The following is a 25,737-nucleotide window of genomic DNA, read 5'->3' on the forward strand; positions in this document are numbered from 1 at the left end:
CAGTGGCTCACACCTGTAATCCCAGCACTTTGGGAGGCTGAGGTGGACAGATCACCTTAGGTCAGGAGTTCGAGACCAGCCTGGCCAACATGATGAAACGCCGTCTCCACTAATAATACAAAAATGAGCCAGGCGTGGTGGTGGGCGCCCATAATCCCAGCTACTCAGGAGGCTGAGGAAGGAGAATTGCTTGAACCTCAGAGGTAGAGGTTGCAGTGAGCCGAGATCGCGCCATTGCATTCCAGGCTAGGTGACAGAGTGAGATTCCATCTCAAAAAAAAAAAAAACCAAAAGAGAGAAAGTTGGGGAGGGGTACTGTACAATATGCGAGAGAAAGGGTTAACATACTTCTGTGTAAGAAAAATGCAGACCTAGGGTAGGCGCAGTGGCTCATGTCTGTAATCCCAGCACTTTGGGAGGCCATGGTGGGCAGATCGCTTGAGGTTAGGAGTTTCAGGCCAGCCTGGCCGACATGGTGAAACCCCGTCTCTACTAAAAATGCAAAAAAGTTAGTTGGGTGTGGTGGCACGCGCCTGTAGTCCCAGCTACTTGGGAGGCTGAGGCACGAGATTGCTTGAACCCGGGTAACAGAGGTTGCAGTGAGCCAAGACCACGCCACTGCACAATTAAAGAAAAAAAAAGAAAAAGAAAAATGCACACCTAAGTAATGCCAACTTAGCATAGAAAAATAGGTGAAGAACATAAAGACAAGTCACAGATTCAAATGACCAGCAAATGAATGGAAAGAAATTTTCACTACTCAACCTAGTGAAGATTTTTGTTTTGTTTTGTTTTGTTTTGTTTTGTTTTTTTGAGACAGAGTCTCGTTCTGTTGTCCAGGCTGGAGTGCAGTGGCTCGATAGCTCACTGCAACCTCTGCCTCCTGGGTTCAAGCAGTTCTCCCTGCCTCAACCTCCCAAGTAGCTGGGATTACAGGTACCCACCAACACACCCGGCTAATTTTTGTATTTTTAGTAGAGACAGGGTTTCACCATGTTGGCCAGGCTGGTCTCAAACTCCTGACCTCAGGTTATGTAGGCACCTCTGCCTCCCAAAGGTTGTCTGCCCACCTCTGTCTCCCAAAGTGCTGGGATTACAGATGTGAGCAACTGCACCCAGCGCAAAGATTTTTTAAAAGAATGCTTAGTGTTGCTGTGGATGCCGCACTCTTACACACTTCTGGGGGAATGTAAATTGTTGGTCTTCCTGGAAGGGAGCTTAGCAGAGCCTTTGATACCACAATTCTACTTAAGAATCTATCCCAAGAAAATAATCAGATGTGGATTTATATATAGGATGGGTCTCACAGTAGTATTTGGTGGAACCTGGAAACTGTCCAGCATTAGGGGAATGATTATGTCATATATCCATAATGGAGAGTTCAGTAACTAAAAGTGGGATTTTTGTACGCTTTTTAATGACATGAGAAAATGCTCAGGCAGTAGAGGGGAAAAAACAGGATACAGAGTTTTACATAGGTAGAAGATTAATATTGTAAGAGAACTACAGAAAAAAGATTAGGATAGTAAGTATGGTCATGTCTATCTTCAGCTCTCTTAGAACTCAGCCATGTGTGATTTTTGGGATGGAGTCCCAGAGGATATCTGAGAGCAGTTTTCTGTTCTCACAAGTAGTTGTTATCTAGCTTACTAAGGGAACATAAGTCTGTTTTAATCACAGTTTGGGTTTGTTTTGTTTTTGAGGCAGGGTTTTGCTCTGTCACCCAGGCTGGAGTGTAGTGGTGTGATCATGGCTCACTGCAACCTCGACCTCCTGGGCTCAAGTGATCCTCCCACCTCAGCCTCCAGAGTAGCTGGGGCTACAGGTGCACACCATCACGCCAGGCTACTTTAAAAAAAATTTTTTTTTTAGAGACAGGGCCTCACTGTGTTGCTGAGGCTGGTCTCCAACTCCTGGGCTTAAGCAGTCCTCCCACCTTGGCCTCCCAAAGTGGTGGGATTATAGGTGTGAGCCACCACACGTGGCCACAGTTTGGGCTTTTGAAAAAAGTTAGGTGGAGGAAGAGAGGTATGAGTACTCTAGTTTTCACTGCAGTATCCCATTTGTGTGTGTCTGTCTCTTGAGGGAAAGATAGACTACTATTCTAACACTGCTCCGGAAAATATTCTTAGTCATTAACCTTCCAAGTTAAGTGGTGGATCAGAAATGGAAAGCTGGCTTTATTCATCTTTATATCACAGGAATGGGTCCTTCTAGGCATTTTTTAAATGGCTAAATTCTAACCTATGCCTTTTCTGTTGTTTTAATCTCCCCCGTGAGCTACTAGTAAATTACATTTGTATACATGTATCCTTAATGTATACTGGATTTTAATCTCTCATACGTCTCCATTTGGAGATGACTGGTGTCAGTAGGAAGTGAATGAAATCAGGTGGCTTCACATGAGATCTATGTACTGTACAAGAGTGTAGGAAGGAAGTAGTGTGGAAGAAGGTGGTTGGTTATTGGTGATGTGTGAAGCAAAAGGGAAATGCTGCTTTTGTATTTATCCTGTTTCTGTCTTTCTGCAGTGATTTTTTAGTTTTGTTTTTAAGATTGTTAAAGCAGCTAGAGGACAGGACCACTATCTCTAATAGACTTGGAATAACATTTAAGCTTATACAACTAAGTGTTCATGAAACTTCATTAGCAGGGAATAGTTCCAGTAGAAGGATTGTTTGCTCATATAAGTCTAAATATTGGTATGTTTCTTTTCTTGTTCTTTTTTCTTCAAAAAAATTTTTTAAGACTAGTCAAGTGCAGTAGTGAGAAGTGGGGAAATATCAAACAAGGGTTTCGATCTGTAACTGACTGTGAACAGTCAATTGAGATAACTCACTACCTTCAGACCTGCTAACAGTTTCTTTTCTGAAATCTGTCCCCAATATTTAGATGAAGCTATTTGCAAATTTAGAGTACCCAAATAGATTGTCATTTCACTTTGTTGGGTCAGAAAAGGTCTGTCTCCAAGGAACAAATTCCCTCAGATTTGTTAAGGAAGTGTGTCATAAAAGGTTCCTTAAGCCAGGTCTTTTAACTGATCTGCCCTTAGGGTCTGACTTCACAACACTGCAGTGCCATACCATGGCTTTCGAAGCCACATTCTCAACTTTCAGCTCAGGTTCTGCACAATCCAGCTTTGTTCACTCTGGTACCGGTCTGGGGACCCACCCCACCCTTGTTTGCCGCTGATCACTGAGCTTTGAATAAAGGCTATGGACTGACTGTATTTTCACCATGTGCTCACTAGGCTAAGCATGATTAGTTTTTATTCTCCTAGCTTGACACAGTGTGTTATTGAAAATTGTATTTGTGTGAGTTAAGGATGAAAAGATAAATTTTACTTTTAACAGCATTAGAACGTAGTGTTATACCTTCCTTTGCGTGTCAGATGGGTCAGTAATATCCACACAGCTGGGCTTCAGTTAACAGTTTAGCTGAGGCTACAGAGTAAGCATGGGTCAGAGCTTGAGTTCTGGACTCCAGTGTAGTATCCTGGTCACTAGAATGTGCACAGTCAGCATTTGAAAGAATAAAGGTCATCAGCTGAGAAAGAGAAATACATTTGGACATGTTCTTTTGAAAATTATCTGTGTGTACACATACCCATGTTGGTATCATGTGCTTTGGGGTAGGGCATTTGAGCGAGGTTATGCTGTTAGAAATTAACCCTAAAATGTATGGACTTATTTTTGCTCTGTCATGACTTGGGCAGCACTTATTTTACTAATAACGATTTGCTGCTTATTGAACTGGCTGACTGGTGGCAACTGAGGGAGGCATTAAAAGTTGCTTTCTAGGCAAGTTGGGTTTGTTTTTCATGGTAATGTTTTATTCAGAGTATCTCTTTGTTTTCAGAGTAAACATCAGTCTCCAAAGATAACTACATCCCTTCTTCCCATCAACAATGGCTCCAAAGAAAATGGGATCCATGAAGAACAAGACCAAGAGCCACAGGATCTCTTTGCAGGCAAGTTTGGACTCAAAAGTTACTCTAGGAACCTCCTAAATGGCTTTGTTAAGTTGCTGAGTTAAAGTCAAAACCAAAAAAAAAAAAAGTATTGGGAACATAACTTTATGTAAAGTACTTTTGTGGAGGATTCCAAAGTACATGAAATACAGGCCCTGCCATCAAGATTCTTTCAGATTTAGGGAGTAAGATATAAATACACAATTGTTTAAGAAGGTGAGTTAAACTGTTAAACAATAACAGAAATGCAGTTGGAGGAATGATAGAAATACTAAGTCACAGGAGCTCAGAGGAGTGTGAGACCAGTGACTAAAGCAGTGCGTGTAGCCTTGTGTGACCAAGACTAGGAGTAAGAATTGCATTTGGTGTCATAATCCAAAAATGTGCATACTGGTACAAAACAGAAACAAAAGTTTTATTAAATGACTTGCCCTTACTACTTCTAATACAGCCTGAAACTTTCTATTGTTTCCTTTTTCAGTGCTCTTTGCAACACATTGAATTGATTTCACAATCCACCAACAAGCTGTAACCTCCAGTTTGAAAAACACTAGTATAGGACAGTTTCTCAACCTTAGCACTATTAACATTTTGGGCTGGATAATTCTTTGTTGAGGGGTGCTGCACTGTTCTCAACAGAGGGGGTGCTTTTGCCCCCCAGAAGACATTTGGAAATGGTTGGAGACATTTTTGGTTGTCACAGCTGGTGGTAGTACTACTGTTATCTAGTGGGTAGAGGCCATGGATGCTGCTAAACACTCTGTACACAGGACAGGCCCTCACAACAAGGAATTGTTTAGCCTAAAATGTCAGTAGTGCTATTGTTGAAAAAACCCTGTCTAAAGTGATCTTGGGCCAGGCACAGTGGCTCACACCCGTAATCCCAGCACTTTGAGTGGCCAAGGTGGGTGGATCACTTGAGGTCAGGAGTTTGAGACCAGCCTGGCCAACGTAGTGAAACCCCATCTCTACTAAAAATATAAAAAATTAGCTGGATTCCATGGCGCACACCTGTGCTCCCAGCTACTCAGGAGGCTGAGGCAGGAGAATTGCTTAAACCCTGGAGGTGGAAGTTGCAGTGAGCTGAGATTGTGCTACTACACTGCAGCCTGGGTGACAGAGCAAGACTCCATCTCAAAATAAAGAAAGAAAGAAAGAGAGAGAGAGAGAGAGAAAGAAAGTGATCTTGGAAGAAGCAGGATTTATGCAGGAGAAAAGGAAAAAGGGGCCCCATGGTTGGGCAGGAAGTATAAGGTATGTTTGAGTGGCAGTCAGTAAAGTTGGTGGACCACAGCAGGACATTCTTGGAGAAGTCATGGAAGATAAGGCTGGAAATGTAATTTGGAAACAGATTTGGGAGGACCTTAGACATTAATAATTCGAGTCTGGATTTTCATCTTAATGCCAATTAAAAGCCATTGGCAGCTTTGTGTAAAGAATGTGGTATGGGCAAAGTAATGTTTTAGGAAGACTGACCTAGTGGAATTGGAATTATATTAAATTAGTTGCAGTGGGCAGAGACCAGATAATTTTTCGAAGGTAATCACAAACTAGTTCAAGAATGAAATAGCAAAGACTGAACATAAGGTAATAAAAGCAGGAAAGGAAAGGTGAAAACTTTTCAAAAGGGAAATCAACAAAATCTGATTTTAGTGATTGAATATAATGGATATCAAAAAAAAGTGGGGATTGAAGACAAAGTCAAAAGGTTTCAAGTCCAAGGGTTGAGAAGAAAATGGTATCATTATAGAACCCCATTCTAAAGAAGAAACTGGCTTTGGGAAAAAAGTAAGCTTTGGTTTTAGATACTTTACATTTGAAATGCAAAGGGAAATACCCAGGAGGTGACTTGAACTTTTCTTTCCTACCTGAGGGAAGACAAGAGCTGGACATATGGGAATCATCTTTCTAGAGGTGGTAGTTGAAACTTCCATGTGAACGAGATCCTCAAAAGAGTGAATGGTGAGGAGGGAGAAAGACAAGGGTGGAGGGTAAGATCTTGGGACGACTCTTACGTTAGAACCTTGGTAGGAAATTTAAAAGACATACAAGGAAAGAAGAGATTAGAAGAAAGAATAGAAAAATTGAGATTTTCCACTTCCCTTCATCCCTGAAATTTAAATATACAATATTTATTCTGATACTGATTATTTTTTGGATAAAATTTCTGGAGGAGGCCAGGCACGGTGGCTCAGGCCTGTAATTCCAGCACTTTGGGAGGCCAAGGTGGGAAGATTCCTTGAGCCCAGGATTTAAGACCAGCCTGGGCAACGTAGCAAAACCTCGTCTCTATTAAAAAATAAAAATAAATTTCTGGAGGAGAAGTGATATGAAGGCAAATAATGAATTGTCTTTGGTTATATGGCAGATTGAAAAGAAAGTGAATTTTCTATCTTTGGGACCTTAACATTTATATGATCTTTCATTATAAGGAGACCTGACCTGACAGTTTAGTGTAATAGTTACCCAGTGATTGGGTTTTATACACATGAACATGCAGATCTTTATTAGGGTCATATTTGTTCATAGTGAGGATTCTAATTTACTTCATTCCCCTACTAGTTTTTTAAGTAGCCAATACCTGCCTCACTTCTAAGAAAGGAACATAAGGTATCTCTAGAATGGAAAGTCTACAATGAGACACTTAGTTTAGGACTTCAGTAGCTTCTCAGTTGTTTTAGGTATTTGACTGTGGAAACTTAAACGTTCTGATATCATTTTTAAATAATAAATCTAGTGATGATCAGAGTCTCTCATGGAGCCTGAATGCTTTTCCAGTACTCTTAACAGGAGTTCAAAGAGAAAAGCATGTTTTAATATAAGTTTTGGCATCTTTGTCACATGAATTTCAGTAGAAGATGCACAGCTCTTCAAAAGGCTTTTTTTTTTTTTTTTTTGAGACAGGGTCTCACTCTGTTGCCCAGGCTGGAGTGCAGTGGTGTGGTCATGGCTCACTGCAGCCCCGACCTCCCAGGCTCAAGTGATCTTCCCACCTCAACCTTCTGAGTAGCTAGGACCACAGGTGGGCACCACCATGCCTGTTAATATTCGCATGTTTGTTTGGTTTTATTTTTTGTAGAGACAGGCTTTTGTCATGTTGCCCAAGCTGGCAAAAGGTTTTTAGTAGCTTTCTAAAGGGCCAAATATTTTAGATGAGTGATACTTCCTGTTTCATTTCCAAACATGTTTGTTAACTGAATTATTTGTGTGGGACCTGCATGATGTGAATATCCTACGCATACTTCAACTGGTTGCTTGTTTCAGAGACTTCTAATATGCTAACATGTTCATTATATGTATAGTTAGTCCTCGAACAATGCAGGCGCAGTCAAAAATTTGTTTATAACTTCCCCAAAACTTTTCTAATAGCCTACTAATAGCCTACTGTTGACTGGAAGCCTTACCAATAAGATAATCAATTAACATGTCTTTTGTATGTTACATGTATTATATACTGTATTCTTACAATAAAGTAAGCTAGAGAAAAGAAAGTTATTAAGAAAATCATAGGAAGGGAAATGTATTTACCTTTCATTAAATGGAAGTGGTTCATCATAAAGGTTTTCATTCTTGCATCCTCACATTGAGTAAGTAGGCTAAGGCAGAGGAGGGGTTGGTCTTGCTGCCTCAGGGTGGCAGATGCAGAGGAAAATTCATGTATAAATGGACCCGTGCAGTTGAAACCTGTGTTGTTCAAGGGTCAACTGTACTTTTTTGCTTGTTTGTTTTATACTCCCACCCCAGAGTCAGATTATGTTACCACCTTTCTCACTTTCCTGATAGGGATCAGATTTCATTTCTAACAGTGTGGCACCCCTGTTTGCAGACTTGATTCACATTTAGTGATTAGAATACTGATCTGGGACTTGATTATGCTATAGGCATATATGCATAAACCATCATCTCTGGTTTCGTTTAGCCCCAAATGAAAAAGAAGCAGCAGCATTCTTTGTATTTCCTAAGATTAAGATAGAATACTTACTGATCAGACCAAACCCAAATTGACATTTATGTTTTCTGTTACTAAAAAAGAAAAAAAGTTTGGACTGTTTAGGCTTAGAGCATCTAGTTCCACTGCTCCAAGTTGAAAGTGCATTCTTTTTATTTGCATAAAAAATTTTAATGCCTAGAAATGGTACATAATGCTATTTTTAAAGTCCCTTCTCTGGAACACTGAGGGAATGAGTCGTTCTGTTCAACTGAGTACTCCCCAGATAGACAAAGGCAGCCCTTAAGCACTGTTTTTTAAACTGTTTTGAGTAGGAAGATTTTCAGATATTACATGTCTTTTTTCACAAATTGGATAGCATATAGTAAGTATAATTTAACCTTTACAAGGAGATCTAAACCATTAGGAAAAATTCTTAAACCATGACAAAATAACAGTGCTGTCATCAGGTGTGGAAAAGTGCCCTTTCCCAAATGTTACTGTGCTTGTGTCTTGGCTCCATTTTTTTCTAGCTTATAGCTTTCCTGACACTTGCTTTGACGTCATTTTTTTCCTGTCAGTATGCCTGCCTCTTCTATCATATTGGTGTGTAAAGCAAATATCTGAACTTCTTTTACAAGCAATTTTTTTTCTTTTTTGGAGACAGAGTCTCCCTCTGTTGCCCAGGCTGAAGTGCAGTGGCGCGATCTCGGCTCACTGCAACCTCTGCCTCCCCAGTTCAAACAATTCTCCTGCCTCAACCTCCCAGTAGCTAGGACTACAGGCTCAGGCCACCACACCTGGCTACTGTTTTTTTGTATTTTTAGTAGAGACGGGGTTTCACCATGTTGCCCAGGGTGGTTTTAAACTCCTGAGCTCAGGCAGTCCTCCCACCTTGGCCTCCCAAAGTGCTAGGATTACAGGCATGAGCCGCCACGCCCAGCCTTTTACAAACAATTATAACAAGAATAAATAGGGCTCATATAATGTTCTAAAGGAATACTCCGAAGATTAAAATTGACAGACTAAATTAGCTGGCTGTGGTGGTATGCACCTGTAGTACCACCTATTCAGGAGGCTGAGGCAGGAGAATCACTTGAACCTGCGAGGTGGAGGTTGCAGTGAGCCCAGATCGTGCCACTGCACTCCAACCTGGGTGACAGAGTGACACTCTGTCTAAAAAATAAATAAAATTGATAAACTTATTTTGGCTGTGTTGTCTTTTTGCTTATCCTTGGTTCTTGTATAAATTCTAGGTAGGAGAGGGTAGCCAAGTGGTTGTATTTGGAAAGAAGGAGAGGTTGTTCTACTAAGCCTGTGCTAGAAGAACACTTCCCTTACCTTCCTCCCCTTTTCTCCTTGTAAACATTTTATGACTTTCAGTCTAAGAGCCTCTATGTATTGAGAGTGCTTGCTATTGTTCTTGTAAGTTCTTAGCCTATACAAGTTTAGCCTTCAAAGACTCATTACTGACCTTCATTTTAAAATATCAACTTCATTTTAGATGCCACAGTGGAGCTATCCTTGGACAGCACACAAAATAATCAGAAGAAGGTGCTAGCCAAAACACTCATTTCTCTTCCTCCTCAGGAAGCCACAAATTCTTCGAAGCCCCAGCCAACCTATGAGGAGGTGAGGATCTGTGCTCTTGGTCTTATCGCTTTTAGATATTGAGGACTGTGTACGGCCAGTCTGAAGTGTAGTTGAGTATGAACCTTGAGAAAATATTTGTTACTCTTGAAGGAGATCTTTATGGTTAATGGACAGCCAGAATCCAATACAGGAGTCTTTCTTGAGCAGAGTATCTATTGCCCAGAGAGCACGAAGGCTTTCAGTGGTTACTAAAGATACTTAGTGTGCGAAGCTTCCACATTCAGGAGTATAGTTTCTCCTCACTCCCTTCCTAGCCTGCAAGAGGCAAGTCTTTCTAAATCTGGCAGTTATTCATTGTCATCAAAATAAGATTTTAAGGGGATACATGTAACAAAGACTTGTAAGCTGGCTCCTAATTTAAAATTTTGAGAGTTGGTACATTGGGATTGTTGGGAATGGACAAAAGCTGAACACTGAAGGATACATCTTGATTTTATTAGATTGGTATAAGGTTATTACAGGGTAAAATTGATAGCTTTTTTTTTCATATCAACTCTCATGATTTGTCTTTTCTTGAAAAAGCTAGAGGAAGAAGAACAGGAGGATCAATTTGATTTGACAGTCGGTATAACTGATCCTGAGAAGATAGGTAAGTGGTTCTTAGGACTCCTTGTGATGTTAGGATGTGGCTGTGGAAAGCATAGGTAGCTAATTTCAGGATGGCTACCCCCAGAGTTGAACTAGCCAATGTGAAGTACTTCATTAGTATCTTTTCTGTAAAAGTAGACCCCTTGCTATGTTTCTAAGGCCAGAGACTGCTGTTACTCAATGCGTTAGTCAGTCTTTTCTTGGCTTCAGGAAGAAAAATCAGAGTCATCAAATACTACTAGAATCCCTTTTTATTTTTATTCTTTTGGTTTTTTGTTTTTTAGAGACAAGGCCTCATTTTGTCACCCAGAATGGAGCACAGTAGCACTATCATAGCTCACTATCATCTCCAGCTCCTGGACTCAAGCAGTCCTCCCGCCTGAGCCACCCCAGCCGCCCAAGTAGCTGGGACTGCAGGCACGTGCTACCATGCCGACTAATTCTTTTTTTAAGAGATGGGGTCTTGCTATGTTGCCCAGGCTGGTCTCAAACTCCTGGCCTCAAGTGATCCTCCTGCCTTAGCCTCTTAAAGCACCGAGATTACAGGCATGAGCCACCGCACCCAGCTAGAGTCTCTTTTTAAAAACCCCAACAGGCCAGCCATGGTGGCTCACACCTGTAATCCCAGCACTTTGGGAGGCCAAGGCAGGCAGATCACTTGAGGTCAGGAGTTCAGCCAGGCCAACATGGTGAAACCCCATCTATACTAAAAATGCAAAAATTGACCAGGCATGGTGGTGTGCGCCTATAATCGCACCTACTCAGGAGGCTGAGGCCAGAGAATCGCTTGAACCCGGGAGGTGGAGGCTGCAGTGAGCTGAGATCATGCCACTGCCCTCCATCCTGGGTGACAGAGCAAGACTGTGTCTTAAAAAAAAAAAAAAACACACACACACACACAAAAAACATTATCTTCTCCTTCAGAGTTGATAAGACCATTTTACTGTCTTTTGAGATAGTAAATCCAATGTAAGCACCCTAAAAAATACATGTTCTAAAATTGAGGGACACTGAACTTATTTTTTCCCTCAAGAAGTTTGAAACTCTCATTTATACACATACTTTTGATAACCTTATGAGGTGGGGAAGTCTATCTGTGGGATCCAAGTTGAATTGTACTCAAAATTGAAGTTAGATCTTCAAAAAGCATAACACTTAACTTTGTCTGGACTTGGATTTTTAGGATGGCTTTCCCCTCTACCAAGCTTGCAAGAGTTATCCCTGAGTGGAGAACAATAGGCCTCATCTTTCCTTGTTCTAGCTATAGTCCCTTATGGAAGAGGCTATACAGAACCTGTCTTCCTAAACAGGAGTGGTGTTTATACAGTTAAGAGGACAAATGTAATTCTCAACTCTTGGTCTGTTTGGTACTAGGGACAGGAACTTGTTAGACTTTATGCCAAAATGGTTGTCTTTTTTTTTTTTTTTTTTTTTTTGAGACGGGGTCTCACTCTGTCACCCAGGCTGGAGTGCAGTGGTATGATCACAGCTCACTGCAGCCTCGACTTCCCCAGGCTCAGGTGATCCTTCCACCTCAGCCTCCTGAGTAGCTGGGACTACAGATGTGCATCACCATGCCTGGCTAATTTTTTTATATTTTTTGTAGAGACAGGGTTTCACCATGTTGCCTAACCTGGTCTCTGGCCAAAATGGTGGTCATTAAACTATTGATTTTAGGCCAGGTGCAGTGGCTTACATGTGTAATCCCAGCAGTTTGGAAGGCCAAGGCAGGAGGATCACTTGAACCCAGGAGTTCAGGACCAGCCTGCCCAACATGGCAAGACCATGACTCTACAAAAAGTAAAAAATTAGCCCTGTCTCTACAAAAAAATAAAAAATTACAGAGGCATGGCGGTACATGCCTGTAGTCCCACGTACTTGGGAGGCCGAGGTGGGAGGATCATTTGAGCCTGGAAGGTCAAGGCTGCAGTGAGCTGAGGTAATACTACTGCACTCCACGTTGGGTAACAGAGTGAGATCCTGTCTCAAAAAGAAAAAAAATTTTTTTTTAATTTGAACTGTTGAGTTTTACTTTTCCCAGACTGTTGGACTGGTAGGATGTTTTTGAGCGTCTTACACAGTTCTGTCATCTAACAGAAAAGGAAATTGAGGACCAAAAAGGAAGTAGCTTTCCTGGTAGGGCACAGTGTGGCCCATGATAGATCCTGGACCAGGACTTTGGATTATATGTCTAGATTCTCTCTTGCTTCTCTAATATTTATGGATAGTCTATAAACACATTAATTTTAAGCTAGTTATTCACCGCTTTAAATCCTTGGTGGAATAAGATGAATGAATGGCACTTATTCTCTTAAAATGTAATAAGTCATGATGTCTGAACCAGGAGAGGGAACATACTGGTTTCCTAAGGCTGCTGTAGCAAAGTACCACAAACTGGTTAAAACAACAGAAATTTCTCACAGTTTTGGAGGCCAGAAATCTCAAATCCTGGTGTCGGCAGGCCATTCTCCCTGTGAAGGTGCTAGGGAAGGACTGTTCATGCCTCTCTCCCAGCTTCTGGCAGTCTCAGGCCTTCCTCGGCTTGTCGATGCATCACTTCAGTCTCTGCCTTTGCTGTCATGTGGCATCCTTCCTAAGCGTCTCCACATTGCCTTCCCTCTATGCATGTCTATCTCTGTGTGCACATTCCCTCTTTAACAAATAAGGACACCAACCTGAGTGGAGTAGGGCCCACCCTAATGTCTTCATTTTAACTCAGTTACATCGGTAAAGACCCTGTAAGATCACATTCTGAGGAACTGGGAGTTAGAACGTAAAATGTACCTATTTTGAAGGGGACACAATTTATCCCATTACAGAGAGTAATTTAAACAGCCCATGGATCAGATGCATTTAAACACAAATCACTCTTGGTGATAAGTTTTCACCTCCTTGCCCTGTAGTCTAGATTCTTAGTCATGTTGATGCCAAGAAACCAGCTAATTAAAATATTTTCATATTCAAGGCCTGATCTTTATAACAACGCATTCTGTTTGTGTGGGCTGTTTATTCAACATGTGCTTCTTGTTCCTGCACACGTCTAAATAATTTAGAATTCAACTTTTACCAGGATATGCTTTTTAGAGCCTTGGTAATTTGCATATGTTATCTTCAACTCTGAAATTATTCTGGAAATTTACGTAAATTTAAAACCTTGTATTACTAGCTTATTTGCAGATCTGTGTGCTCTCTATGTACATGCAGTATGTCTCTTTTCATGTACATTGCCTAAGTAAAAGCAGCTGAGAAACAAAATATCTGAAGATCCTGCTTTTCTGTTTTCTCTGTGTTTGCATTTAGACTTTCTTAACTGCAGGCACTAAATTATGGGATTGACTTCTTGGACATTTGACCATAACTATTCTGCTGTGAATGAAATTTTGAATATTACTTCTATAAAATAAACTTAGATTTCTTTTTTTTTTTTCTTTTATCAGTAGTAAACATCCTTAGTAGTATTGGGTAATGTTAATAAGGTGGTTTAGAAGAGAACTAAAGTTGGTAATCAGTATAAAATAATTTCTAAAGTTTAGCTTATGGTTTCTGTTTTATATACACCCTTTTGGTAGGGGCTGGGGAAGTATAGCAGACAAGCCCTGTATTCCTGTGTAATCTTCAAATTCTTGGTAAATTTTTCAAAAAGCAGGCATTTCCAGCCATCTTACTGAAACCAAGTTGTAATGTGGGAAGCTGCTGATCCAGTACTGCCTGCTCTTCCTTCCCTTGGCCCCTCACCCCTCACCCCAGAACCAGTTCAGGGGCTTAAGCAGCTGGTAACTGTTGACCTAGGTTTTCCGGTTTGATGTGGGAAGGAATCAAGGGTGGGGGAGGCAGGGAACAAAACCAACCCCAAACACCATAGTCCAGCACTGGAGCTGTGTCTGTTTGGATTCCAGAATATGTCTTTTCAGTGCTCAGGATATCAATGGCATCTTTATCTCCTTAAGTGGTCTAGGTCAGGACATCACCACAGAGAAAAACAATAGCTTGAATCCCAAATTATTTAACAGTCAAAGACTTCTTCATAAAAATAATTGCTCCAGGAAAGGGAGATTTGTGTGACATTAGGCAGCCAAAGTGTCTTCCTGCCAGACCCTTTGCTCTTGGTGAACATGCTAGATCAGAGAGGTCAGTGTCCCCCCCGGCACCAATGGAGGGGGTTGTGACGATATTTCTGAAAGAGCAAATCGAGCCCAGAGCTAGCCTAGGGTAGAACTACTTGTTTCCTTTTATATCAGTTGCTTCCTTCTCCTCCTGCTTTATACAGCAAGAGAATTGTTTGGTTTTGGACAGATGTGTGTAACCAGCCCAAATATTGGCATGGTAACAACTGATGGATTGTCAGTATCCAGTGCTGCTTTGTGGAGGGTATAAATGGAGCCTGGCCTGGCTTTGGAACAGAGGGCTGACTCTCTTGTGTAACTCAAACTGGGGCTCAGCCAGCATCCATGGGGGCTTGCTATGTGCCACAGAGGCCCTGAGGCAAAGTAGGAACTGGATTCTAAGATTGCATATAAAGCTTGGAGATGAAACAAGCATCCCTTCTTATCCAGGGTTCCTATGGCTTTTATGATTCCTGGTCAAATGTTAGCTGGATTGGCACTGCTTTGGTTTACAAGATAATCTTCTGCTTTCTTGTTCTCTCACAGGGGATGGTATGAATGCATATGTAGCCTACAAAGTTACAACACAGGTGAGTCCAGGTGACCCTGCTGATGACCATCTTCATAGACTTTGGTGCTTATACCAAGGTCATCATTCAGATTATTTCTGGGTATCTCCTTTGTTTCTTTGCCAACATCTTCATGTTTACTCAAGATAGAGCAAGCCTGCATCCCCTTGGTAATCTCATCTGGGTACTCCAGACTGAGTCTTTTTAATACTCTTCCAGAAAGCTAACATTTCAGTGTGATTCTATTAACTCGTGGTATATCTGATACAGCCCCATCCCTCTTAGAGAACCATGTGGTTTGGAGCTAGATTCACAGATTGCCCTAAACCATCTTTTAAAATCTTCAATGCTTCTGAGGTTTCAGAGAGCTTTTTTAAATACTTAACCTTTTGCCCCTCTAGTCTGCTCTTCTTTTGTATATAATATTAATGCATACAAAATGTATACAATGTTGTATACAAGTTAGGAAGCATAATAAATGAAGCCCTAAACTTACCACTAGTCTTAAAGTTGAGTATCATTGGATCCACCTGCGTGTTTTTCCATCATATCCCCTGCCTCATACCTTAGAGGTGTCCTTTCTCCTGAGTTGTCTCTCATTTCCTTTATAAGAAATCTTTACATATATATATATATATATATATATATATATATGACTGTTTTGCTTTGTTTTGAGTTTCATAAAAATAGTATCATGGGGGCCGGTCACGGTGGCTCACGCCTGTAATTCCAGCACTTTGGGAGGCTGAGACGGGCAGATCACAAGGTCAGGAGATCGAGACCATCCTGGCTAACACAGGGAAACCCTGTCTCTACTAAAAATACAAAAAAATTAGCTGGGCATGGTGGCAGGCACCTGTAGCCCCAGCTGCTGGGGAGGCTGAGGCAGGAGAATGGCGTGAACCCGGGAGGCGGAGCTTGCAGTGAGCCGAGATCGCGCCACTGCACTCCAGCCTGGGCGACAGAGGGAGACTCTGTCTCAAAAAAAAAAAAAAAAAAATAGTATCATGCTGATAATTGTGCTTGCTTTATTTAGCATTGTTTCTCTCACCCATCCTTGATGGTCATGGCTGTAGTTAGTTCATATACCACAAAATATTTATGTTTTCCTGTTGTGAACATTTTCTGCTGTCAACATGTTTCTGGTTTTTGTAACTGGGAACTTTCTTGCACATCTCTAGTACACACGTAGAAGGATTTCTCTAGAGTATGTAACCAGGAGTAATTCCCGTGGGTCATAGGTACTGCAAATATTGGACACAAGGAATACAAACTGTTTTTTAAAGTCTTTGTACCAATTTGTACCCCATCAGCAGTGTATAAAAGTTCCCATTGATTCACTTCCTTGCCAGCAATTGGTGAGGCCAACCTCCTTAAATTTTGCCTATCTGGTGAGTTTAAAGTGAACTCTCATTGTGATGTAGCCCTAACTTTTTTGGTAGAAATCTGCTTTGTATTGTCTCTCTACTACTTGTTGGCCTGCGTCCTGTGAGCTCTAGATTATGATACTTTAGAGGTTACTGTCTACAGCTTAGACATTTCATCCAATTCCCACCCTGCTCATCACCTGCTTCCCCTTCTTAGAAGCACTTTTTGTCTGTCTTTAGTTTGGCTGCTGTAATTCCAGCAGCTAATACCCTTAAATAAGTCAATGAGGCTTGGCGCAGTGGCTCACGCCTGTAATCCCAGCACTTTGGGAGGCTGAGGCAGGTGGATCACCTGAGGTCAGGAGTTCGAGAGCAGCCCGGCCAACATGGTGAAACCCCATCTCTACTAAAAAACTATAAAAATTAGCTGGGCCTGGTGGCAGGAGCCTGTAATCCCAGCCACTCAGGAGGCTGAGACAAGAGAATTGCTTGAACCTGGGAGGTGGAGGTTGCAGTGAGCCAAGATTGCACCACTGCACTCCAGCCTGGGTGACAGAGTGAGACTCCATCTCAAAAAAAAAAAAAAAAAAAAGCAGTGAAGAATGAGCTGGGCATGGTAGCGTGTGCCTGTATTCCTAGCTACTTGGGAGGCTGAGGTGGGAGGATCGCTTAAGCCCAGGAGTTTGAGGCTGCAGTAAGCTGTGATCGCACCAATGCACTCCAGCCTGGGCAACAAAGTGAGATCCTGTCTCCAAAAAAAAATAGTCAATAAAAGATGAATGGGTTACTGGTTACTATAGAATTCTAGCTTTAAACTAGAACTGAACATTTCTTTCTTTAGAACAAGAGTTCTTAACCTGGGAATGAAACTGTATTTGAATTTTTTTTTCTCAAGGGTCACCATGGCTTCAGATGTATTTGAATTTAATTGATTGCCTTTATAATCCTATATATTTTTTGCATTTAAAATCATTATTCTGAGAAGAGCTCCTTAGGCTCCCAGACTGCCAAAGGGGAACTATAGTTTTAAAAAGTTTAAGACTCTCTGCCTTGGAGAAAGTTATTTGCCAGGTGACTGAAGGGCAGGGATCTGGGAAATGGGTTTCTTTAATGTCAATAGGATGACTTTCAAGATACCATCCCCTATTTGGAATGAAATTGCCTTGTGTTTTTTCCTGTCCCCAAGACAAGCTTACCATTGTTCAGAAGCAAACAGTTTGCAGTAAAAAGAAGATTTAGTGACTTTCTGGGTCTTTATGAGAAGCTTTCCGAGAAGCACTCTCAGAATGGCTTCATTGTCCCTCCGCCCCCGGAGAAGAGCCTCATAGGTAAGCCTGTGGTCTTTCATTCCACTTGGATTGTTTTCCTTTGCATTCTCTCCAAAATTCACTCACTGTTCAGTATATGAGACTACTTCTATTAACAGTCTTGTGGTTAGAAAAGAGACATTTCCAGTGTTTTCCTACACTGGAGGTCTAGAGAAAAATAGCATATTTTGGCATGTTCTCCTTGGGTGCAGTAGGAGCTCTGGGTTTAGCCTCCAGAGATGTTCGTTTGTTTTCTGTTGGTCTTCAGGAGTCTTACATGATTGCGGTTGCCTCCAGATTGAAATAGACTACATTGGATTAGGGGTCAGAGGAAGAAACCTCTTCATTTTGTTTGTTTGTTTGGTTGGTTTTTTGGTTTTTGTTTGTTTGTTTGTTTTTGAGGTGGAGTCTCGCTCTGTCACCAGGTTGGAGTGCAGTGGCGCGATCTCAGCTCACTGAAACCTCCACCTTCCGGGTTCAAGAGATTCTCCTGCCTCAGCCTCCCGCTTAGCTGGGACTACAGGTGCCCGCCACCATGCCCAGCTAATTTTTGTATTTTTAGTAGAAACAGGGTTTTACCACGTTGGCCAGGATGGTCTTGATCTCTTGACCTCGTGGTCCGCCCGCCTTGGCCTCCCAAAGTGCTGGGATTACAGGTGTGTGCCACTGCGCCCGGCCAGGAGCCTCTTCATTAACATCAGTTGATGTTTGTACTCAGGGTTCCATGGCCGCCTTTTTAAGAAAATGTTTACTCTGCAAGTCCTAGAGTTTAGAACCTTCAGCACTTAGAGACTAGTTTTCAAAAGTGGCTCTCATGTAAAGAACCTTTTGTTCATCCCTGCATATAACATAGAAGTGGCCTTAGGCTGTGTGCTAGCCTCACTGCCTTTCCTCCTGTTGACACTTAAAAAAAAAAAAGATTTATCCTCTTCATGATGATTTATGGTTATTTTGCTTTTTAAATTCCATTCTAGGGATGACAAAAGTGAAAGTTGGGAAGGAAGATTCTTCTTCTGCAGAATTTCTTGAAAAACGGAGGGCCGCTTTAGAAAGGTAAGTGCCATGCAGCCATTTTCCTGAATAATGTGAGGACAAATGAAAAGCTGAAAAGTGAGTCTAAATGACGAGACAGTCCATTGAGTTAGAGATGAAACGTGAATAAATTGAAGTTGCACACCTCCATATTATCTCTTAACTTTTCCTGAGTCGCTTATTTTCCCACCTTGAGAATAGACCATCTTCTGTTTTTTCCCCATCCTGAGTGAGCAGGCAGTCATATTCTTAGACAATCAATCAAATATGAATGGCTCTGAGGTTTCTTTCTGACCAGTTATTTTTCCCTCCCTTTTTGGAAATGTCAGGAATGTGAACTTGAATATGCTTACAAGGAGAGACCTACTTAAGTACCTTATCTTAGGGTACTTTAAGTACAAAAAGTACAGAAGACATGGTATCACTGCCAGCACTGTGTGACGCCCAGAACCTTCTGAGGCCAGCTCAACTAACCAGATGATAACTGCTTACCTTTTAGGTACCTTCAGAGGATTGTAAATCATCCTACCATGTTACAGGACCCTGACGTCAGAGAGTTCTTGGAAAAAGAAGAGGTTAGTATTCAGTGCAAACTGAATTTCATAATTTATATCTGCCCCTAGTGAAACGAAACTAGTTCATTCCAAAAATATGTGAGCACTTAACATGCCTAGTACTAGACTGTATCCTAGTTTTGTGTGAACCCCTGAGAGTGACAAGTATTTTTCAGCCTTTGAAATAAAAGAAGCTCTGCCCGAAGTCAAAAGCAGTTGGTTGTAAGGGTCAAATAGCAGCCTAGTATTGTCTTACTGGATCAACACAGTGATCTATTTGGCAGGTCCTTGGCATGTTGTAGGTTACTTCTTGGCTCAGATTGAATGTATATTTTATGCCAGGCGGGTCACTGGTTAACAGTTACCACAAACCACAGAACTACCATGTAGGAAAAGTGTTGATTGAAGTAGACAGTCTCTTTCACAGGCTATGCGTAGGCTAGTCATGATTGTCAAAAACTGAAAACAGCCCAATTGCTAACAGTGGAAGAATTAAGTAAAATATATCAATATAACCAAATACTTGATTCTCATCATAAACAAAGTATACAGAAATGTTAGTACATGGACATGTATGTTAAAAGAATTACAAAATTTGAAACATGAAATAGCATATAAATACAGCTGTAGAAACATGTAAGTCATTAAGGATCAAAAGAAACACTGGAGTGAAATGTTTTATCTCACAGGAAAGCAAACTAGAAGGAAGTAAGTGACTGGGTAGGGCTATCATTTTGCTTTAATTTTTATTTTTAAATTTTTCTTTCATTTGTATGTAGTATGTGTTACTCCAGTGAAGAAAATGATACTAAATAAATGAGGGGGTTTTCTCCTCTAAAATGAAATGTTTTCATTAAAAATTCCCTGTCAAATGCTTCAAATCTTTTAGTCTTTTCTTGTGGATATTCTTAAATCCCTTCTGCCTTTTCACCCTCTCGTCTTTACTCCATACCCCTAAGCAGGGTATGTCTGTAGCAGCACTGTGGACACTTTGGGTCAGATAGTTCTTTGTTGTAGGGGTTGTCCTATGCATTGTAGAGGGTTTTAGCAGCATTCCTGGTACCTACCCACTAGATCCAGGTAGCACCCCCTCCCCAGTTATAACAACCACAATCATCTCCAGACATTGCCAAATGTCCCCTAGGAAGCAAAGTGGCCCCAAGTTTAGAACTACTGCCAGGCCAGGCGCGGTGGCTCTTGGCTGTAATTCCAGCACTTTGGGAGGCTGAGGCAGGAGGATCACCTGAGGTCAGGAGTTCGAGACCAGCCTGGCCAACATGGCAAAATCCTGTCTCTACTAAAAATACAAAAATTAGCGGGTCGTGGTGGCGGGCACCTATAATCCCAGCTACTTGGGAGGCTGAGGCAGGATAATCACTTGAACCCTGGAGGCAGAGGTTGCCGTGAGCTGAGATCGTGCCACTGCACTCCAGCCTGGGCGACAAGAGCAAGACTCCGTCTCAAAAAAAAAAAAAAGAACTACTGCCATAGAGTCCTGAACACTAAAATCTGACTTTTTAGCATAGTGTGCTGTATATGCTATAGATTTTTCAGCGTCCTTTCCATGCCCTAGGAGAGTACTGGGGAGACTGAACAGCAATCAGATTGTTTCTGAATATTTGGCATGCTTGACTACTAGGTTATCCCTGAAAGTAGCCTTGATCTGAATCAATAATTTTCTTGTCCTCGGATATTTGTTCACTGAAGAAAATTCGAACACAGCACGATTTCAGTGTCTTAAGACTTTTAAGTCTGGTTTTGTACAAAGTGTGCTAATCCAAGGGAACTTTTGACTTTTAACAAGAGTATGCTTGGTACTTAAGCAGTTCATGCCTGGGTAGGCAGACAATCTCAATTTGAGGTCACCTGGCCACGTAACACCCCAGTCTACTTTTTTTCTGTATAAAATATCAAAAGCTGAAAATGTTGCTGATTCTTTTTAACATGGTTCTTTGATTTTTCTGTATGGACATGTTAGTTGTGGATTCCTCAGACTGCCTTTGAAAACAATTTACAGTTCAAATAATTTGTCTGGCAAGTTTTGGCATGCCATCTGATGGATACTAATTCTTCTGAACCTAAAATAGGGGCAGCAGATAACTTGCCATCCCTGCCTTCTTGGTCTTGTAGCTGCCACGTGCCGTGGGTACCCAGACATTGAGTGGTGCTGGTCTCCTCAAGATGTTCAACAAAGCCACAGATGCCGTCAGCAAAATGACCATCAAGATGAATGAATCAGACATTGTGAGTAGCCCTGTGCCTCTTACCTCCACCTACACCTCAGGCTTATGGGTCAGAACCCCTAAGGAGTCCTGAAATTTCTGAGATTAGAAACTTTTTTATAAGATTTTTCAGTCCCTTTTTGAGAAACAACTGCTAAAGAAAGACTGTACTGCACCCATAAAAGTAATCTCATTAAAGTTCTGGGCTTTTGTGTTTCAGTGGTTTGAGGAGAAGCTCCAGGAGGTAGAGTGTGAGGAGCAGCGCTTACGGAAACTGCATGCTGTTGTAGAAACTCTAGTCAACCATAGGAAAGGTAACAAGCTCTGAAATGCACTTGGAGCTAGGGGAAATTGTTGTCTCTAGTGAACTGGAGATGCGAGGGCATGCTGTTCCAATCCTCTCAGCCATCCAAGTTGAAATTCTCAGCCCACCTGGTCCTTGATGTTCTGATAAAAAAAAGGTATGCCCTGTGTCTCCTGGCAGAAAACATGATTCAACCACTGTGGGCATTGTGCTTTCTACCTGGGAGGGGTGCAGGGAAGCCATCCCAGATACAGCATGACCTGGGATATGGGCTTCTGTTGATTTTGACTTGATGGCTTACATCCAAAATGATGTCATACATGCTTGAGCTACATGGTCAAACCAGCAATGCGTAAATGCAAGGAAACCACCTGTCTCCTAATCCTTCTGCATCTCTCTTTAGTGAAATTTGCTTAAGAGCTTGTGAAATTTTCCCAGTTTGAATCTTTTCCCTCTTTGCCTTAAACATGCTGATAATTAGAAATTGAAACAGACAGAAGACCCATAGCATGAGGCCAGGGTAAGTAAGGGTTGGCAAAGTATAATCTGGCCCATGGGCCAAATCTGACCCTGGTTCCTATTGCCATGAGCTACAAATTTAGGTTTTTACATTTTTAAAGGAATGAATGAGGGGAGAAAAGAATCTGTAGCAGACTATGTGTAGCCTTCAAAATCTAAAAAATTTATTATTAGCCGGTCGCGGTGGCTCACGCCTGTAATCCCAGCAATTTGGGAGGCCGAGGCAGGTGGGTCACGAGGTCAGGAGTTCAAGGCCAGCCTGGCCAAGATGGTGAAACCCTGTCTCTGCTAAAAATAGAAAAAATTAGCCAGGTGTGGTGGTGGGCATCTGTAATCCCATCTGCTTGGGAGGCTGAGGCAGAGAATTGCTTGAACCCGGGAGGCGGAGGTTACAGTGAGCTGAGATGGCGCCACTGCACTCCTTTACACAAAGTTTGCCCTACTCTAGAACGTGCAAGACTATACGATGTGCACATGTATTCACTCTTCTCTCTTGTACAGAGAGGCTACCACTCATGAGCTTCAACATAAATATAAGAATAGTTTCTTTGGCCTGTTTGTTATTTAACAACTGGGCTTTGGTTCTCCAGGGATATTGGAGCTGCTTCCTTCAGGTAGGCCTAACCCAGTGAAACTCAGGACAGCTGGTGCCTCTCCCTCCTGCTCCTGTGACCAGGCCACATTCTCTTTACTCTCTGAATACAGTTAACTGTGGTGTAAGTGACTGGGTTGCAGAGCCCTCAGTTCCCAGATATGCAGTGGGCGGCATTGCTAAGACATGCCATGCAGTGTCAGCTGATTTGTCCCTTTTCCTTGTGAGATCAGAGAGGCCTCTGCTGTCTTTTCCTCCTTCCAGAGCTAGCGCTGAACACAGCCCAGTTTGCAAAGAGTCTAGCCATGCTTGGGAGCTCTGAGGACAACACGGCATTGTCACGGGCACTCTCCCAGCTGGCTGAGGTGGAAGAAAAAATTGAGCAGCTCCACCAGGAACAGGCCAACAATGACTTCTTCCTCCTTGCTGAGCTCCTGAGTGACTACATTCGCCTCCTGGCCATAGTCCGCGTAAGCTTCTGTTTCCTTTTCTCCTCCTTCCCTTGATTTGATTTGTTTTTCCTTTGCTGGTCCCCTTCCCAAGACAGTTTCATCCCATTATAGCTTGTAAATAGGTGTCACTTTTTCTACTTTTAAGAGGAAAGGTATCCTGTAAACCAAGCAATCTATTCACCTGTTAGCTAGTTATCACTGAATCATTTTGAGCCCCACAGCCAAGATTCCTAGATGGCATTTGGAGAAAAGACCACTCTTGAATTTCCGAATAGGTTGCCCTTTATTGTTGAGGCCAGACAGTGTCTTCTGTGGTCCTTTCTTGAAGCAAGGTTGCTTACAGACCTACTCTCTTGGTCCCCTGGAGCAGTGACTTCCTCAGTCCTTTGGTCTTTGCCTCCTTAACAGTAACTGGTGGCTTTGCCCTGGTTAAGAGCTCTTGCTGACTTCCACTTGTCCTTCCAGTATGGGCAGTCAGGTAACTACATGGAACTGGCTTGGCATTGCATGGAGGAGTGCGGCCAGGGGACTGAGAGAGCTTGTCACCAGAGCCTTCCTGTGCTGTGTCACCCCACACTGGTAACATTCCAGCCTGCCCCTCGTCAAGCACCTCACTCTTTCTCCTGGTGATCAAGCAGTGTGGTTTCCCCGTGAGCACTCCTAGTGATTAAGGTTAAGGAATTTTGACAGTAGTATTAGCTGTCGCATGGCCTCCCTAAGACAGAGGAAAGAACCAAGAGGAAGCCTGGCACCTACACTCTAAGGGCCTAAGTCTGTCCTTGATTTCGCTTGGGATCAGGATGTGTGAGCCTCAGAGTTAGAACAGTGCCCCCCGCTCGTTCCCCGTCCCCAACATATCTCCCATTAGGGAGCTTGTGCGTTGTGTCAGGAGCTGAGCTGCTCCCAGGCTGTCACTTACCCCGTGGTGGAGATGCCTCATAGAGCCTGGAAGGTTGCTCATTGTCCTCTCCCATTGCTATTTGGTTTGCTGCTAACTCCAGAGTGATGAGTCTACCTGCTATGTAATTCTTAGAACTGGGCAGGCTACTTAGACTGGAGAGCCAGCTGCAGGAAGGGCACCCTCTGGGGGAAGCTTTCTATGAGGAGCATTGTTTGGGGTCTCTGGAGAGCACAGTTCTTGGATATGGCCCCCAGGCAGAGTGAGCTTGTACCACAGGGGTGAGGGCCTTGCTTAGAGCTACATGGGCTGGGGCTGGGGAAGTGTGCCTCATGGCACATAATTGCGAATGGTCTTTTCTCAGAGACCCTTCATCTGCCTACCTCATGCTTATGAGCCTGGTGGTGGGATTGGAGAGAAGAGCAAAGGTTTCTTTTCTGCTCTTCCCTGAGCATGGAGCCGGACCACTGTTAGGCCAGTGGGTTGGGCTTGAGTCTAACTAACTCAGATAAGAGGTTGCCCTTTACCTAATCTTTTGACATTGAGGTGTTAAGATGCTGCAGGGTAGCAGCAGTGACAATCCTGGGGCAGGTGAATTTGGTGGCATTGCATTCCCTAAGGTTCAAGTTTTGGCAAAAGCCTGTGCTGAGGAGGCATAGACAATATGCAGGGAAGGTTGGGGCGTGGTGGCTCACGCCTGTAATCCCAGCACTTTGGGAGGCTGAGGCAGATGGATCACCTGAGGTCAGGAGTTCGAGACCAGCCTGGCCAGTGTGGCGAAACCCCATCTCTACTAAAAATACAAAAATTATCTGGGCGTGGTGGTGTGTGCCTATAATCCCAGCTACTCAGGAGGCTGAGGCAGGAGAATCGCTTGAAACCAGGAGGTGGAGGTTGCAGTGCAGTGAGCCAAGATCGCGCCATTGCACTCCAGCCTGAGTGACAAGAGTGAAACTCCGTCTAAAAAGAAAATATTCGGGGAACTTTTGCAGGGCAGTGAGGGAGCCGCTGGAACCCGGCTGGGCGGCTGGCCCCAGGCACAGATCCTTGATCCAGGCTGCTGCTTGGGGCCTATTAAGCAAGTCCGGGTGGGCGTGGTTAGTCAGGCCAGCAGCTTCCTTCCCTGGAAATGCTGATTGTGGTCAAGGAACTGGAAACAAGGAAAACTAGCAAATAGATTTTGGGGAGCTTCTTGGAGGCCTTGGTAGCCTAGAGCAGGTGAGTGTGTGGTTGGGAAAAAGCAATGTGGCCCTATGGTGGTTTTAGGTGTTGATTTAAAGATTTGTTAAGCTAACCTTGTGCATTATTTGGGTGTCAGTTTAAAGGCTGGGTCCTTAGGGTGGACTTCCCTGACATATTTCCCAGGCTAAGCTAGGCCTCTGGTTTCATGTTATAGTACCCTGCTGCTTTCCCAGTAGTCTGCATACTTGTATCTATTTGTAATTGTAAATGTAATGTTGGCCTTTTCCATTAGATGACAAGTTCCATGAAAATGGGACCATGAGTTTCATCCACTGTATTCTTAGCTCCTGGCACATGGCAGGCACTCAGGGAAAGTATGTAGCCTTATGAACTGACTGATCTGAGGGAGGCACTTCTGTAAGCCATAGTATTGGTCACTGGCATGAGGCCACCTACTGGATCCCTGCCATCCAGCCCTGGGAGTAGCATGAAGCAGC

General features: G+C 42.7%; 1 protein-coding gene across 3 annotated transcripts in view, besides 1 other annotated feature; it reads left to right on the forward strand.

Moving 5' to 3' along the window:
* The window catches only part of SNX1 (sorting nexin 1), a 48,250-nt gene that overhangs the window by 12,733 nt on the left and 9,780 nt on the right, over nt 1–25,737 (forward strand). For 2 of the 3 annotated variants that reach the window (NM_003099.5, NM_001242933.2), the window contains exons 2-11: nt 3,859–3,970; nt 9,403–9,530; nt 10,074–10,140; nt 14,789–14,832; nt 17,365–17,506; nt 18,460–18,538; nt 19,017–19,092; nt 21,202–21,315; nt 21,514–21,607; nt 22,973–23,178. In NM_003099.5, the coding sequence (NP_003090.2) occupies nt 3,859–3,970; nt 9,403–9,530; nt 10,074–10,140; nt 14,789–14,832; nt 17,365–17,506; nt 18,460–18,538; nt 19,017–19,092; nt 21,202–21,315; nt 21,514–21,607; nt 22,973–23,178 (1,062 nt within the window). The remainder of the gene's footprint in view (nt 1–3,858; nt 3,971–9,402; nt 9,531–10,073; nt 10,141–14,788; nt 14,833–17,364; nt 17,507–18,459; nt 18,539–19,016; nt 19,093–21,201; nt 21,316–21,513; nt 21,608–22,972; nt 23,179–25,737) is intronic. The other variant, NM_148955.4, reaches the window with a different exon arrangement.
* Nucleotides 2,589–2,638: an enhancer, noted in NCBI's record as "active region_9557". NCBI's record gives its function as "activates an Ori minimal core promoter by ATAC-STARR-seq in GM12878 lymphoblastoid cells {active_cell/tissue: GM12878}" and the evidence as "EXISTENCE:reporter gene assay evidence [ECO:0000049][PMID:35858748]".

The sequence above is a fragment of the Homo sapiens genome, chromosome 15 (genome assembly GCF_000001405.40).
Source record: "Homo sapiens chromosome 15, GRCh38.p14 Primary Assembly".
In the NCBI taxonomy this organism is placed as follows: domain Eukaryota; kingdom Metazoa; phylum Chordata; class Mammalia; order Primates; family Hominidae; genus Homo; species Homo sapiens.